At 38.5% G+C, this 17,470-nt stretch overlaps 1 protein-coding gene across 1 annotated transcript; it reads left to right on the plus strand.

The window, feature by feature from the left end:
* The first annotated feature begins 5,094 nt into the window (after positions 1-5,094).
* On the plus strand, positions 5,095-6,057 carry OR2T4 (olfactory receptor family 2 subfamily T member 4). The gene has a single exon (NM_001004696.2). The coding sequence runs from the start codon at positions 5,095-5,097 to the stop codon at positions 6,055-6,057; it is 963 nt and encodes a 320-aa protein (NP_001004696.2).
* Positions 6,058-17,470: the final 11,413 nt, after the last annotated feature.

Here is a 17,470-nt window from a genome sequence, read left to right on the forward strand (position 1 = left end):
GAAAAAACACACTTAGAGAATGCTATCTGGGAAAGGTGGCGGGGGAGAGTATACGGAAATGTTGGTCAAAGAGTTAAAAGTTGCAGTTGTGTAGGATAAATAAGTCTAGAGATCTAATGTATAGCTTGATGACTATAGCTAATAATATTGTATTGTACACTGGGAAGTAGCCAAGAGAGTAGGTTTCAGGTGCTCTTAGCACATGTAGACACACACACACACACACACACACAAAGTAAAGATGGACATGCTTATTTTCTTGACTGTAGTAATAGTAATAATTTCACTATGTATATAAAAATATGTTGCATACCTTAAATATATACAATAAAAAGAGAATCCTTTGTACATAAGCTATTAAAAATGTCAAACAATTTATCACTTAGAAATTTGAACACAACCTAAATAACCACTATTTGGATTTTAATTGTGGTATAATTAATTTGATAGGATATCAATGTCTAGTCACATATATACACTTAACCTATTTTAAATAGAATAGATTTAATGTACAAAAGTGGTTACAGGGTGGCACAAAGGGCTGGAGGGAAGGCTGATGCAGCAAGGAGCCGAGTGTTATCACTCACAGACCAGGAGTTGTCACCAGTGGCGCCTCATATGCTCCTCAGTGCTGAGCTGATGGAGACCGCACGCCCAGGGCTGCTTGTGTGACTTTCCCATGCTGATATGCGGCAACTTAGATGCCCTGCATCCCCACAAATGCAGCTGAAACTGACTGTAAGCCCACAACTCCCTCAGGACCCCTGCTGCCTGCAGTTGCTGCTGCTGCCGCCACAGATCATCACCAGAAGCAGGAAATAAGACACAGTTTCCTTCTTTCTCCTGCTCTCCAGTGTTCCACCAGGGCCTGCCCTCTCATAGCCTTACAGGAAACCAGGTAGCACAGGAGTCAGGACAAGCTCTCTGCGGGCTGAAGCCCTAGAAGTCAGCGGAGACACCAGCCCTAAAGTGTGGGCCCAACAAACAGAAGACAGACACCATCTGGACAAACGTTTTCATGAAAAGACTTCCGTGACATGGTAACATGATCAACATCATTCTAGAACACACGCACAGAAAACGGTTCAGAAATACTTGTCTGCAAGATCCAAGAGGGTGGAGTTGCTTCCACCTAGTTACCTATTTTATTCCAACTGTCTGCTACATGGTGTACACTTCATAAATATTCATAGTATGAAGTCAAGACATGAATTTTAAAGTTTTGTTTCTATCTGAACTATTACATTATGGTTGATTTTTAAATTTTATTTGTACTAGACTGTGATTTTAGATTTTTTAGTCATATCAATATTTAAAATAAAAACAAACTTTAAAATTAAATGCATCACTAAAGTAACAGAGCTTGCAGGTGAATAACAGAAGAAAGAACATAACAAGCTAATGAAGAGTGATAGCAATGAAGATGTGAAAAAGACAACCTCAATTTTAGTATGGAGTTCATTACTGATCAGCGATACTCTCTTTGACACATCAACTGAACTCTGAGTTTCAAAGCCTATATTTGTGAAAGATTGGAACACAAATAGCAATATTTTATAAAAATTTCCTAAAGTTTAAAGGAGGAGGCACATACACATGAAAATATTGTGTAAAACACAAAAGGCCATATATAACTAACTCATATATCATAGGTAAAAATTCATTAGTAATGGCTAACTTTGAGATTATTGTTAATATTTGTTGAGATTTTCAGTTTAACAATAAAAGAAGATTAAATAACAACAACAAAACAGCTGGGCACAGTGGTGTGTGTCTGTAGTACCAGCTATTCAGGAGAGTGATGTGGAGGGGGTTCACTTGAGGCCAGGAGGTCGAGGCCTTTGTGCACTGTGATCTCACCTGTAAAAATCTACTGCACTCCAGCCTGGGCAACATAGTAAGATTCTGTCGCTTAAAAAAAAATGAGAAGAAAATCAGAAAAGGGCAACAGAGATATCTATTAGCTTCTTTAGCTCCTTTATTTGCATTCGTCTTCAAAACCCCAGAGAGGACTTATTAACAGAAAACTTTTATCTACACCCCTAATGGACACAGTGAAGCCAGGGATGATGTCACTTTTGTTTTTCTTTGCACACTTAAGCCAGCCACACACCATGAGCCCCTCCAAATGAGGGTCAAGACATCATCTGATGGTGAGTTACACCAGATAGGTAGACAGTATTGCAGGAACAAAAGATGGTCACGGTTCTTGACTTGTTCTGCTTTTGAAACATTTCTATTAGTTCTTGACTGTATTTCCTCATTTCCCTCTATCATCTATTTTTATGGAGAAAAGCCAATCTGTTTTATTTTTCCTTTGAGTCTCATTTTATATAATACTTATTTACTGCAACATATTAGTAAACGGGTTTTTCATTTCCAAAGTATTTATGGACAAAATCATATATATTCTTCCTCTGTTATTGAATGATACATTTGTTTTAGTGGGATGAAAATTTTGCAGAGGAAAAACAACTAATTTTTCTTTGAATGGAAATTAGGTCTTAGAGTTAGAAAACACTAGCAACAAATGTTTCAATCATATTTATGTTTCCCTGGTGAAACCAATAGTGAGTTATCTAAAACCCAAATTTTAGTCTACGGAAGCAGGACTGTGTCCCCAAGAGAACTGAGGTAAGTGACATGCTCTGGGTCCCGCACCTGCACCGATGTACTTACTCCATGGGGTTAGCTGTGTGATGTTAGATAGATACCCCAGAACTTGAACTTTTAAATCTGTAAATGGTGAAATTAGATTATATACCTCATAGGTTCTTGAGGAAAATTAAATGTGGTAAACTGGCATTAAGAACAATTCCTAGGATACTGTAAGCTTCACATAAATGCTCAATATTGCCCTACCACCACTATTAATTATTCCCTGGGTTAAACATGCATTGTGCTGTTTGGAAACTCAAGCAATGTGATCAAGAAAAATAAAAGAAAGAAAAAGTCCAGTTGTGCTGCATGCTGCAGTCACAGTTTTCCCTCACTGATCTGGTGTCCCAGGTCAGCTGTTCAGCGTGGCTTAATGACAGGGACTTCCATTTACAAAAGTGCAGCAGAGATTTGCCCAGCATCCACCTCCCATCCCGCACTGCCCTCTTGGTCTCCCTCCATTCACTTAGCAAACAGCTGCCCAGTCTCCGCATCTAATTATTATTCTCCAAAACTTGAAAATATTAATAAGTCTAATTAGAATTATTAAAAGAATTCAAAATGTATTTGAAACTTGGAAATTCTTCCTGAAATATGACTGTATGATAACCACTGCTAAAGTCTTCCCTGAAAAAGGACCCTATATTTTCTTCCTATTGATAAATACTAAAATTTAACAACATGTCAGAAATCGAAAAGTTGCAAAGTTTTAATCTTCTTAAGAGAAAATGTAGGAGTTATCAGTGATTCTCTTCAGAAAGGTTAAATGTATTTTGCTTCTATTAGCCTTGTTAATGTAGCTCATAGCTATTCTAATCTGAAGTTGTACTTTAAATCATGTTTATATGTTTTTTCCTGAATAGACTGACTGTGACCTCCTCAAGCTTAATCAAATATAATTTGTCTTTGATTCCTGCACTAGCTAACACAGAGTCAGGCTGTGAGTAGCAAGATAGAGGAAGGAATTTAATTGAAGTGAGAGACATCTTAGTGTTTTATTTTCTTTTCTGCCTCACAGTTTCCGTGAAAAAATTCACTGTAGCAGGCAATAAAGCAGATATTTGCAAAAACACCAAAAGCCTTACCTGGTAAATAGCAGGGAGTTTCTAAATCCCAGTTATGCCCCCCTGAGATTTAATGCGAATGACAGGAGCTTTAAGGAGTTAAGCTTGGAGAAGCATGCACTAGTCACAAAGAAGGTGGATTCTGCATAAATCTCTGCTCAACATGAAAATAAGAGACATACCTTACATTAATATATGCATTTCTATTTGTAAATATGCATATACAATGTATTCTTATATTTGTAAATCTGCACATATATAAAAATGCATATCTATAAATTTATATAAAATAAATGTAAACTGTATACATACAAGTTGTCTGGGACTAGAGAAATTATCAAATCCAAATTCTTACAAGTCTGACTAAATGATAAAATCAGCAAACTGAAGTAATGAAGCTCATATCATAAGATGATTATAGTAATACAGTCTGCAGAATAATTTGTGTAGATATTAACTCTTTGACAGTGTATGTATTTGTTCATTTGTAACTGGTAATATTCTAAGCACTTTCATTACTTTTCTGCATTTAATCTTCATCAACCCTGAGGTCAAACCTTTTCTTACCATCTATTTTTATGTGCAGTAAACAGAGGAATAGCAGGTAGAGGGGAAGCTGGGTCCACCCTGCAGTCCAGCCACGGTCCCTGGGCTCCTCACCCCATGCGACTCTGGTTTCTGAGGAGTCTGGTGTGTAGGAGGACCCTGGCTTGCTCATGGGGATGTGTGGGGTTTTGCTCCACGAAACCACAGAGCCTCACAGCATTGTCCAATACTGTGGGTAGAAGGGTGCAAATGTTTGGTATGGATTTTCCACAAGTGATATTTTAGTCATGTTCTAAATCATTCCTATATGGAATACACTTTTGGGAGTTTTTAAGATTCCAGATGGATCCTTAAACCAGAGAATGTAATTCACTTTAGACTTCTCTAAACAACTCTAAAAACAGGGGGACAAAATTCTCCTTTGTTTTCAATAATTCACTATTCATGTCTGCATAAGGCAGTGACACTGCCAGTTTCCAGGACTTGTTTATAACAGACACTCTCATCGGGAAATCTCATGACTCAGAACTGTGGCAACTTCACTACAAATCACCCTTTTGATCCACAGTTGTGAATTCTTAGTTCCTGGTAAATTTTTTGAATTGCAGATAATTTATAACACCCAAATCTACAGGCCCATGGGCCTTTCTTTGGTTAGAACACACACACACACACACAATTTGTTTCAGAGGCTCAAATTACTTTAACCCCAAGCTTTCCTTTGTGGCCTAGGTGAAACCTCATGGACAACATCACCTGGATGGCCAGCCACACTGGATGGTCGGATTTCATCCTGATGGGACTCTTCAGACAATCCAAACATCCAATGGCCAATATCACCTGGATGGCCAACCACACTGGATGGTCGGATTTCATCCTGTTGGGACTCTTCAGACAATCCAAACATCCAGCACTACTTTGTGTGGTCATTTTTGTGGTTTTCCTGATGGCGTTGTCTGGAAATGCTGTCCTGATCCTTCTGATACACTGTGACGCCCACCTCCACACCCCCATGTACTTTTTCATCAGTCAATTGTCTCTCATGGACATGGCGTACATTTCTGTCACTGTGCCCAAGATGCTCCTGGACCAGGTCATGGGTGTGAATAAGATCTCAGCCCCTGAGTGTGGGATGCAGATGTTCTTCTACGTGACACTAGCAGGTTCAGAATTTTTCCTTCTAGCCACCATGGCCTATGACCGCTACGTGGCCATCTGCCATCCTCTCCGTTACCCTGTCCTCATGAACCATAGGGTGTGTCTCTTCCTGTCATCAGGCTGCTGGTTCCTGGGCTCAGTGGATGGCTTCACATTCACTCCCATCACCATGACCTTCCCCTTCCGTGGATCCCGGGAGATTCATCATTTCTTCTGTGAAGTTCCTGCTGTATTGAATCTCTCCTGCTCAGACACCTCACTCTATGAGATTTTCATGTACTTGTGCTGTGTCCTCATGCTCCTCATCCCTGTGGTGATCATTTCAAGCTCCTATTTACTCATCCTCCTCACCATCCACGGGATGAACTCAGCAGAGGGCCGGAAAAAGGCCTTTGCCACCTGCTCCTCCCACCTGACTGTGGTCATCCTCTTCTATGGGGCTGCCATCTACACCTACATGCTCCCCAGCTCCTACCACACCCCTGAGAAGGACATGATGGTATCTGTCTTCTATACCATCCTCACTCCAGTGGTGAACCCTTTAATCTATAGTCTTAGGAATAAGGATGTCATGGGGGCTCTGAAGAAAATGTTAACAGTGGAACCTGCCTTTCAAAAAGCTATGGAGTAGACCATTTTGAGAGTAATTTACTTTTCCTTCTCTCTGCACTTCACATATGAGAATGTTATACCAGTGTTATTTCCCAGACTCCAAGACTGCCATGGTGTTTGATCTCATTTTCACACCTCTTTTAGAAATCGCTTTCCTGTACTAGAAACTTTTCAATTTACACTCCGTCTCACTTCAAAATGCATTATTCAGTCATATTATATTGATGTTACAGTTACTGAAGTTCATAACTACTTTCTAATTCTATAGGATATTTTCATATTCTGGGAATACATAATGATACTACTTAGAGGATAAAGGTTATAAGGCATAAAATTGAGAGAGAGGGAGAAATGAGGAAGAAAAAGGGTTCATATAGATGTTCTTTGTACTACTTTTATTTATGCTAATTTTCTGTAAAATTGAAATTAATTTTAAATAAATAATTAAAATATGTCCCCTCCCTCCCACCTTTTTTGAGCAGTACACATGATATAATATCTTAGAAAACTTGCTGATTGCAATGTAGTTATTCACTGCTGAGACAATCCAGCCATTTGTCCACCCTTATTGGAGGCTGTCTTGGCCCACATGGTTGGTTCCTGAAAGATTAAGGTCTGTTATTGAGGTTAACAGTCTTCATCAAGTGCTGGGTTTTGAATCCCGAATTCCGTTAAGAGACTGTGGAAAACATATTAGCCTGGGGTGAAAAGAAGCTTTAGAGAAGATTTCCAGCACAAAGTGACATCTGAGCTGAGTTTTGAAGTATGTAATTTATTAGACAAATAAGAAGAGGTAGAGTATCAAATATCCAATTGTTCATTTATCCAGTAAATATTTGTTATGCTATATTAAATCTAAAATATTCACTAAAGAAAATTCAAAGGTGAATACTACATACTGCTTTCCCCAAGAAATTTGAACTAGTAATTCTGTGTGCAAATAGGTGCTATAAAGTGTATGAAATGCTTTGATGCACATGTGGAAAGGGTATAGCTCATTCTGGCACCTCGCTTCTTCCTGTGCTGTGCACATTCAATCAAGCAGAAGATGCTGAGTGCAGCCCCAGGAGCTCAGTGTTAAAGGTGCCTAGCTGTTCCCCTCAGATAACTACACATGGCTGGGGAAGGGGGAGGGACTTTGTCAGGGATGTGATTATGCCTGGGAAAAGGCACAGCAAGAGCAAAGGTCAGACAATTGACCAAGCAGGAGTGGCAAATATTCTAATCGTGCCTTCTTTCCTGTTTTATTTTGTGGAATAATTCCTTGCTTTCTGTGACCCAGATGTTTACAAACAGTAGAAAATGATCAGTCTTGCATTTCAGAAATATTACTTTGGTGACAATAGATTGGAGAAGTGCAAACCTGGTGGCAGGCAGACCAGGTGAGTGAGGATGGTGAAATGCACGAACTCAGTGGAACGATGTGTACCTTACCACCAGGAGGGACTTAGGGAGAGGAAATGTTTGGGGTATGCAGGGATGTGAGACTTTGTCAAACCAATTGGATTATAATTACAGACCTAGTTGCAGGTGTATCATTTTCCAATTGCCTGTGTCCAACTTGTGAAAAATCAAGTGGCTTCAGATTTACAGATTCTGCTTTCCTCTTGACAATATGATCCTAAACATGTAAAACTTAAAATCTCCACAAAAGCTCTGTTAGAACAATTGAAAGCCTTCACATAAAGTTGCAGAAATCAAAATCAACATACATCAATAATTTTTCTATGCACTAACATCAAACTACCTGAAAAAGAAATTTAAAAACAATTTTATTTATAATAGTGTCAAATCAAACAAACAAAAACTTTGGGATAAATTTAACCAAAAGGGTTAAATATCTACACTGAAAAACATAAAACATTGATGTAGGAAATTAAAGAAGACACCAATAAATGAGAACTATCCCATATTCATGGATTGGAAGAATTAATATGTTAAATTTTTCATATTACCCAAAGGGGTCTATACATTTAATGACATTCTTGTCACATTTCAATGTCATTTTTCACAGAACTGGAGAAAAAAATGATTTATATGAACAGTAAGAACAAAAGGGGAGCATCACACTACTTTTTTTCTAAATATATTACAAAGCTATGACACTCAAAACAGCATGGTACACGCATTACAAAAGGCACATTGACCAGTGGAACAGGATTTAGAGCCGAGAAATAAACCCACACATTTATAGTCAATTGATTTTTGACAAATGTGCCAAAAACACACCTGAGGAAAGGACTGTTCCTTCAACAAATGATACTGGAAAAATTAGATATCCACATGCAAAAGAACAAAATTGAACCCTTTTCTCACACCATATACAAAAATCAATTCAAAATGAATTAAACTTGGATATAAGACCCGAAACTGTAAAGCTACTAGAAGAAAATATAGGGAAAAGCTCTGTGACATTGGTTTGGGCAATGTTTTTCTGGATATAAACTCAAACTCCCATGGAACAAAAGCACAAATAAACAAATCAGATTATGCAAAACTAAAAAGGTTCTGCACAGTAAAGGAAACAATCAATAGAGTGAAGGGACAACCCACAGAATTAGATAAAGTATTTGTAAACTATATTATCTGATAAGGGATTAATAGAAAAAATATATCAGGAACTCAGAAACCTCAATAGTAAGAAAATAAATAACACAATTTAAAAATGGGCATAAGACCTGAATAGACATTTCTGGAAAGAAGACAGACAGATGGCCAACAGGTATATGAAAAATAATGCTTATTATCACTAGTCATCAGGGAAACACAAAACAAAACCACAATGAGATATCACTTCACTCTTGTTAGAATGGCTATTATCAAAAAGACAAAAGATAACAAGTGTTGGTGAGGACATGGAGACAACTTCCCTCCCTCCCACCTCCAACTTTGAGGGTACAGTGGGCTAAACTGAAGAATGCATGAGCTGGGGGAGGCAGAGGATGCTGGGTCCTGTCTCCCCACTCTCGGGGCCGACTCCTTGACCTGATACAGGCAGAACAGGTGAGGCCCCGAGGCTTTACCTTGACTGAGAGCTCTAGCTGTGAGTAGGATCTAGGCATGTTAGTAACGACTGATTCTGGACTGAATGTGCTGGGAGGTCATTTGAAAGTCTAGGAAGGTTGAAAAAACCTCATAGCTTGAACAGGCATTTGAATGAAACCTCAAAGTTCTTTTGTGCTTGTAACTTGAAGACATTTGCTCTTTGGAAATAGCATACACATATACAGACCATCTATATGGTATACACAGATGACAAAGGTTTGTGCTCTCCATAGTTTCTTTTCTTCTTTATTTGATGGATTTATTCTTTCTTGCACACCTGTAATTATATTTCTCTTGACACCTTGCTGTATATCAACTTCTTGAGTTACACTCCTTGTCAATAGTTGAAAAGTTTCTGTCTTTCAGCTTCCAACAAATTTGCTGACGAGTCAGTTGCTGCTCAGATTTTTTAAAAATCAATTTTATATAAGTAGTTCTTTCTATCTGGTGACTGCAAAATGTTAACTTGCATTTACTCTGAAAATAATTCATGTACATATTTTAACTTACTGTTACAATTGCTAACTGTTGTTAATGTATAATTTCTATAAATGTATATCTATTGCGTTGAATATCAGAGTATTAATTTAAAAGTGGTACTTTTTACATATATAACTAGGAGTGGAATAGCAGGGTAATATAATAATTCTATACTTTGTGTTTTGAAAAGCTGTCAAACTGTTTTCAACTATGGCTGAAACATTTTGCATTTCCACCAGCAATGCATGAGTCTTAATTTCTCCATATTCTCACCAACACTTATTACTGCTTAATGAGTAAGGGGTTTTACAGCTTGGGATCGTGGAAATGTTTTGGAACTAGAGGTTGTTGTTGCCCAATATTGTGAATGTATAAGATACCACTGAATTGTTCACTTTAAAATGGTTAATTACATTGCATGAAGTTCACTTGAATAAATTATTTTTAAGTGGCGCTGTTTGTTTGGAAGACTATGAGAGAAATTTATTTTCACATAGGGTTATCCCATGGAACTAGGCAAAATCTTGAGAAATAGTATTTCCAAATAATTCACAATAATTTTTCAACTTATTCCAAGAAGACAACTTCTCTAAAAACATGTAACATAATGGGCCTGGTCAGTTCTTGGTTGATGCTTTGACTCTTTCAGTGTTTCTTATTTTAAAACATGATTTTAAGTTTCAGTTTTGGCTGGGAGAAAATACCCTGTCTAAAGCTGTATTTCAGCCTCTTGCTTTCAGATTTACCAAATTGTCTTTGTTTGACTTAAAAAAAATTTTTAGTTGTCTGTTTCCAACATATTTGCATTGTTGATTTAAAAAAACTTTGAAAAGCATGTGTGTTCATTTGAGAATAATTTTAGCTCATTTTTGATAGGGGAAGTGTATAATTTATTTTATTAGTTCTAAGTCCTCCTTATTTCTAAATTTTATTTTTATGAAATAACATTTTAAATGTGCTTCAAAATATTTCCACAGGGCAGTGTGTGTGTGTGTGTGTGTGTGTGTGTGTGTGTGTGTGTGTGAAAAATAATCATACATTTTATTTAGAGTCGGTTTCCTTTCACAGAAAATTTTCATTAGCTCTTATGCATGAAAATAAATAGTCAAATGATTTACAGTTTTAAAATGTGACCTGTAAATTCAAAAATGTTTAAAAATCATTCAGAGTTCCTATTATAATAGATTTGTATGATAATTTTAAAAAAAATTTTTTTTTGAGAGTTTCACTCTTGTTGCCCAGGCTGGAATGCAATGGTACAATCTCGGCTCACTGCAACCTCCACCTCCCGGGTTCAAGCGATTCTCCTGCCTCACCCCCTCACTAGCTGGGATTACAGGTGCCTGCCACAATGCCTGGCTAATTTTTTGTATTTTTAGTAGAGATTGGGTTTCACCATTTTGGCCAGGCTGGTCTCAAACTCCTGACCTCAGGTGATCCGCCCACTTTGGCCTTCCAAAGTGTTGGGATGACAGGCATGAGCCACCATGCCTGGCCTGTTTGATAATTTTAAAAAATGTTGTTACCATCCACATTTTACTCAATTTTTATAAAACTTATCTTTTATTTTGTTTTTCAGAATAATTTGTTCAATTTAGGCTTGTTTCAAAACATATTTATTTAATTTTGCAATTATATTTCGGTAAAGGAAGGAAAAAGAACAATGAGCATTCCAGTGTGACAGGAGACATGTAACTGCAGTAAACAAACAGCTCCATGATGGTGACAGAGCTACCGGGTGTAGAAGGTACACATTCTAATAGCTATGGTTATTCCCATTCCACAGATACTGATTAACGAGTTTCACAAAAGATATGTTGAGAATGAATTACTTCAGTGGTAGAGTAAGCAGAGATGAATTACAAAAGCTTTTAGTAAATACAGTCAGCCCTCTTTATCCGAGTTCTGCATGTGTGGATTCAATCAACTGCAGATAAAAAATATTCAGAAAAAAATGTTCTGAAGTTCCAAAAAGCAAAACTTGCCATGTTCTGAGCACTATGTTGAATCAATTCCAATGAAGTGATATATAGACCTTGCATGAGGTATAATAAGTAATCTAAAGATGATTTAAAGTATGTGAGAGGATGTGCATAGCTTACATGCACATACCGCAGCATTTTATATAAGGCACTTAAGCATCCTCAGGTTTTGGTACCTACAAGGTGTCCTGGAACCAAACCCCACAATGAATACCAAGAGACAAATGTGTTTTTAAAACAAATGAGAATTGGTCTTGCAGGGTCCTCACCAAGTGAAAGATCACTCCCTGCCTTATGGAGGTGGGAGGGAAATAGGAAAAATTGTATTAAGTAAATGTCTACCATGAAGTCATAAATACGATTTGTTCAAAATACTTAACAGTGAAATTTATATTTTGAAAACATCATTTAATATTGAAAAGAAAAATTTAGGGAACGGCTAGTGGAATAAAAATTACATAGAAGAATCAGGACAATGAAGTAAACTTACATAGGGGAAAAGGGAAATCAAAATCATTTGGGGCCAGGCATGGTGGATCACACCTGTAATCCCAACACTCTGGGAGGCGGAGGTGGAAGTATTGCTTAAGTCCAGGAGTTCAAGACTAGCCTGGGCAACATACTGAGACCCCATCTCTACAAAAAATAAAACAATTATCCTGGCATGGTAGCAGGTATCTATAGTCCAAGCTACTTGTGAGGCTGATATGGGAGGATCAGTTGAGCCCAGAAGGTTGAGGGTGTAGTGAGCCATGAATCATACCACCACATTTCAGCCTGGGCAACAGAGTGAGACTCTGTCTCAAAATAAAAATAAAAAAAATCATTTGTAAAACATAAGTGAAATGAATTTAAATACAAGTTTCAAATCAGTATACATGAACGCTAATACAATTTTCTTGAACTAGAGAGACTGTACAAGGAAACTGTGCATCTGGACATTGCTGTAATTTTTTTTTAACAGGGTCTTGCTCTGTCCCCTAGGCTGGAGACAACCTCCACATCCTGGCTTCAAGGGATTCTCATCCATCAGTTTTCAGACTAGCTGGGATTACAGGCGTGGGCCACCACACCCAGCTAATTTCTTGTATTTTTAGTAGAGATGGAGTTTTCCTATGTTGGCCAGGCTTGTCTTGAACTCCAGGTCTGAAGTGATCCACCCATCTCGGCCTCCCAAAGTGTTAGGATTACAGGCATGAGCCACGGCATCTGGCCTATTGCTGTAATTATTGATCATAACTGTGGTCATTAATGCATATATTTTTGTTAAGTTGTTTTCTTGGTTTAATTCAATATGGCTTAGGGATATGGACTGCATATTTCAAACTTTGTAGAATTCTCTTGAGTTTTGTTATGTGGCTGAGAACATTTTATATTGTACAGGAAATTCATAACTTTTGGGCAATGATTTTATCATTCCTTGAAGACTTCTGCCCTGCTCCTCTTAAAGGGCACATTGCCTGCTCCATCCACTCCTGAGTGTTCTTTTCACCTGGAGTGACCTGATCTGCCTGCTCTAGGCTTTAGAAGGGCAGAGGTAATGTGGGTCATTTCTCCACTTCTACCCCAGGCTCTTGAGTGCATCTCAATGTCAAGGTTTATTAAACAGAACAAGAAACCGTTCTTCCTTTCCCGAAATAAATTAATTCTCCTTTTAGATCTCACAAATAAGTGAGAACATGCAATGTGTGTCTTTCTGTGCCTGGCTTACTTCACTTAACATAGTGACCTCCAGTTCCATCCATGTTGTTGCAAATTAAAAGATCTCATTATTTTTTATAGCTGAATAGTACTCCATTGTGTATAAGTACCACATTTTCTTTATCCATTTATCTGTTGATGGATACTTAGGTTGCTTCAAAATCTCGACTATTGTGAAAAGTGCCACAACAAACATACGAGTGCAGATATCTCTTTGATCTCTTTTCCTTTATTTTGGGTATATCCCCGGGGGATCGATGGATCATATGATGGCTCTGTTTTTAGTTTCTTGAGGAACCTCCAAACCATTCTTCATAGTGGTTATACTAATTTACATTCTCACCAAGAGTGTACAATGGTTTTCTTTTCTCCACATCCTTGCCAGCATTTGTTGTTGCCTTTTGGATGTAAGCCATTTTAACTGGGGTGAGATTATATCTCATTATAGTTTTGATTTGCATTTCTTTTATAATCAATGATGTTGAGCACCCTTTTCTATGCGTGTTTGCAATTCGTATGTCTTCTTTGGAGAAATGTGCATTCAGATCTTTTGCCCATTTTATAATTACATTACTAGATTTCTAGACAGTTGTTTGAGCTCCTTATATACTCTGGTTATTAATCCCTTGTCAGATGGGTAGTTTGCAAATATTTTCTCCCATTCTGTGGATTGTCTATTCATTTCATTGATTGATAAGTTTCCTTTGCTGTGCAGAAGCTTTTTAACTTGATGGGATCCCATTTGTCCATTTTTGCTCTGTTGTCTGTGCTTGTAGGGTATTACTTAAGAAATCTTTGCCCAGACCAATGTCCTGGAGACTTTTCCCAATGTTTTCTTGTAGTACTTTCATAATTTGAGGTATTAGATTTAACTCTTTAATCCATTTTGATTTGATTTTTGTATATGGCAAGAGATAGGGGTGTAGTTTCATTCTTCTGCATGTGAATATCCAGTTTTCCCAGCACATTTATAGAAGAGACTGTCTTTTCCCCAATGTATGTACTTGGCATCTTTGATTGCAAATGAGTTAACTGTAGGTGTGTGGATTTCCTTTTTGGGTCTTTATGCTGTTCCATTGGTCTGTGTGTCTGTTTTTGTGCCAGTATCCTGCTATTTTGTTTATATAGCTCTGTAGTATAATTTGAAGTCAATTAATGTGATTCCTCTAGTTGTGGTTTTTGCTAAAGATAGTTTTGTCTATTCAGGGTCTTTTATGGGTTGCTATAAATTTTAGGATTGTTTTTTCCATTTCTGTAAAAAATGTCATTGGTATATTGATAGGGACTGCATTGAATCTGTATACTGCTTTAGATAGTATGGACATTTTAAGAATATTTATTTTTCCCATTCATGAACATGGAATATCTTTCCATTTTTTTGTTTCCTCTTCAATTTGTTTGATCAGTGTTTTATAGTTTTTATTGTAGAGATCTTTCACTTCTGAGGTTAAGTTAATACCTGGGTATTTAATGTTATTCATGGCTATGATAAATGAGATTACATTTTTTCATATTGTTCACTGTTGGCAGATAGAAATGCTTCTGACTTTTAAATGTTAATTTTGTATCCTGCAACTTTACTGAATTTGTTCATCAGTTCCAAGAGGTTTTGGTAACGTCTTTAGGTTTTTCCAAATATAAGGTGATATCATCCACAAACAAGAATAATTTTACTTTTTCCATTCCAATTTGGATGCCCTTTATTTCATTCTCTTGTCTAATTGCTCCAGCTAAGACTTCCAGTGCTATATTGAATAATAGTAGAGAAAGTGGACATCTTTGTCATAATCTAGACCTTAGAGGAAAGGGTTTTAGTTTTTCCCTATTCAGTATACTAGCTGTGTGTCTGTCATATATAGCTTTTATTATGTTGAGTTATGCTCCTTCTATCTTCAGTTTTTTAATGGTTTTTATCATGAAGGGATGTTGCATTTTATCAAGTGCTTTTTTTTAACATCAATTTAAATGATCATATGGCTTTTATCCTTCATCTGTTAATATGATTCATCACATTGATAAATTTGCCTATGTTGAACCATCCTTGCATCTCAGGGATAAATCCCACTTGGTCATGATGAGTGATCTTTCTAGTGTATTGCATGCCAATTGTATTCTCCAGCTCTAGAATTTCTGCTTGATTCTTTTTAATGTTTTCAATCTCTTTGTTAAATTTATCTGATAGACTTCTGAATGCCCTCTCTGTGTTAGCTTGGATTTCCCTGAGTTTCCTCAAAACAGCTACTTTGAATTCCCTGTCTGAAAGGTCACATATCTCTGTTTCTCCAGGATTGTTCCCTGTTGGCTATTTAGTTTATTTGGTAAGGTCATGTTTTTTTGAATGGTGTTGATGATAGTAGATGTTTAGTGTCTGGGCATTGAAGAGTTACGTATTTATTGTAGTCTTCACTATCTGGGCTTTTTGTACACATCCTACTTGGGAAGGCATTCAAGATATTCAAAAGTACATGTGTGTTGTGATCTAAGCTGTGTCTACCTTAGGGGGCACACTAAGCCCAGTAATTCTGTAGTTCTTGAGACTCATTGAGGTACCGCCTTGATATTCTTGAACAAGATCTGGATGAATTCTACAGATTACCAGACAAAGATTCTTGTTCTCTTCCCTTACTTTCTCCCAAACAAATGAAATCTTTGTCTGTGTTCTGAGCCACTTGGAGATAAGAGTGGAGTTATACAAGCACCACCGTGGCAACCACCACTAAAAGTGCCCTGGTTCAGGCCTGCAGCTAGCACAACACTGAATCTCAGCCACGGCCTGCTGTAACCACTTCCTGACTACCACTCATGTTTGCTCAGGGCACTGCAGCTCTAAAATCAGCAGGTGACAAAGCCAGCCAGGCCTGTATCTTTCTCTTCGGGGTATCAAGGTCCCGTAGGCCCCAGGAAGGTCCAGAGGTGACATCTGGGAGCCAGGGACAAAAGTAAAAAACCTTAGAAATCTACCCGATATTCTGTTGTATTGCAGCTGAGCTGGCACTCAAACCACAAGATACTGTCTTTCCCACTCTCCCCTTCCCTTTCAAAAGCAGAGGAGCCTCACCCTATGGCCACGGCCAGCACATGCCCATGGGAAGTGTTGCCAGTCTACTGCTGATGTTCCCTCAAGGCCCAAGCGCTCTTCAGTCAGCTTGTGGGGAAGGCTCCTTGGCTTGGGACTCATCCTTCAGGACAGTGGGCTCCCCTCTGGCCCAGGGAAGGACCAGAAATGCTGCCCAAGAGCCAAGTCCGAGAATTGAGGAAACCAAGAGCCCACTTGGTGCTCTACCCTCCTAAGGCCTTGCTAATACCTAAAGTCCAAGACGAAGTCCCGTTTACTCTTTCCTCCACTTTTTTTTTTTAAAGCAGAAGGAGTTTCACCCCATAGCCACCACATGTGGGAATGTGCTGAGTCTCATCTGTGAGCCAGTAATCTCAGAGGCTCACCTAAGGTCCTCAACGTGGTACCTGGGTATCACTGCTGGTTATTCAGGGCTCAAGGGCCCTTCAGTTAGCAGGTGATGAATGCTTCCAGGATTGGGTTCTTCCCTTCATAATAACAGGTTCCCTTTTGGCCCAAGGAGTGTCTAGAAATGTCCACAATCTGGGGCCTGGAGCTAGGGGGTGGAGCAATGATTAGATCAATGATGAAATTCTCAAAGCTTTGGCACAGTGGTACTGATTAGTTGTAGCGATTTCTGATGACTCTGATTGGTGCCCTCTCCTGCTGTGGCTGAGCTGATTCCAAGATGCAAGAAAAAGTCCTCACTCTTTCTTATCTTCTCAAGTGGAGGGAAGGGGTTTTTTAGGAGCCACAAACTGTGCAGCCTGGGGCTAGGGGAGGGGTTCCAGCACCCCCTTACTTGCTCTGGCTGGTGTCTCAGTAGGTTGTGTCCCCCCATAGTCCACAGGCTCTGGGCCAGGTCAGCACTTGGACTCATTTAGGAGTTGTGGTCATTGTGGCCTGGTTTCTTTTTCTCATGTTTCTTTTAAGGCCCCAGAGCACTTTAGTCCATGGTGGAAAGGCTTGCAGGAACTCAAGTTCAGACGGCTGGGATTGGTAATTGCCCTCGGGCTAGTCTAAATGCTCCCTCCATGGATGGGCATCAGCTGAGTTTGGTCCAGCTTTGTTTTCTGCTCCAGCAGAGCAGCGCTGAGTTCAATGACTCACGATTGCTGTGCTCTCCCTCTCCCCAGAGCACAGAATTGCTCTCTGCACCATGCTGATGC

Source organism: Homo sapiens, chromosome 1, assembly GCF_000001405.40.
Source record: "Homo sapiens chromosome 1, GRCh38.p14 Primary Assembly".
Classification (NCBI taxonomy): Eukaryota; Metazoa; Chordata; class Mammalia; order Primates; family Hominidae; genus Homo; species Homo sapiens.

Coding starts and splice junctions, on each gene's coding strand:
- OR2T4 (NM_001004696.2), top strand. CDS start 5,095: ATGGCCAATATCACCTGGATGGCCAACCACACTGGATGGTCGGATTTC.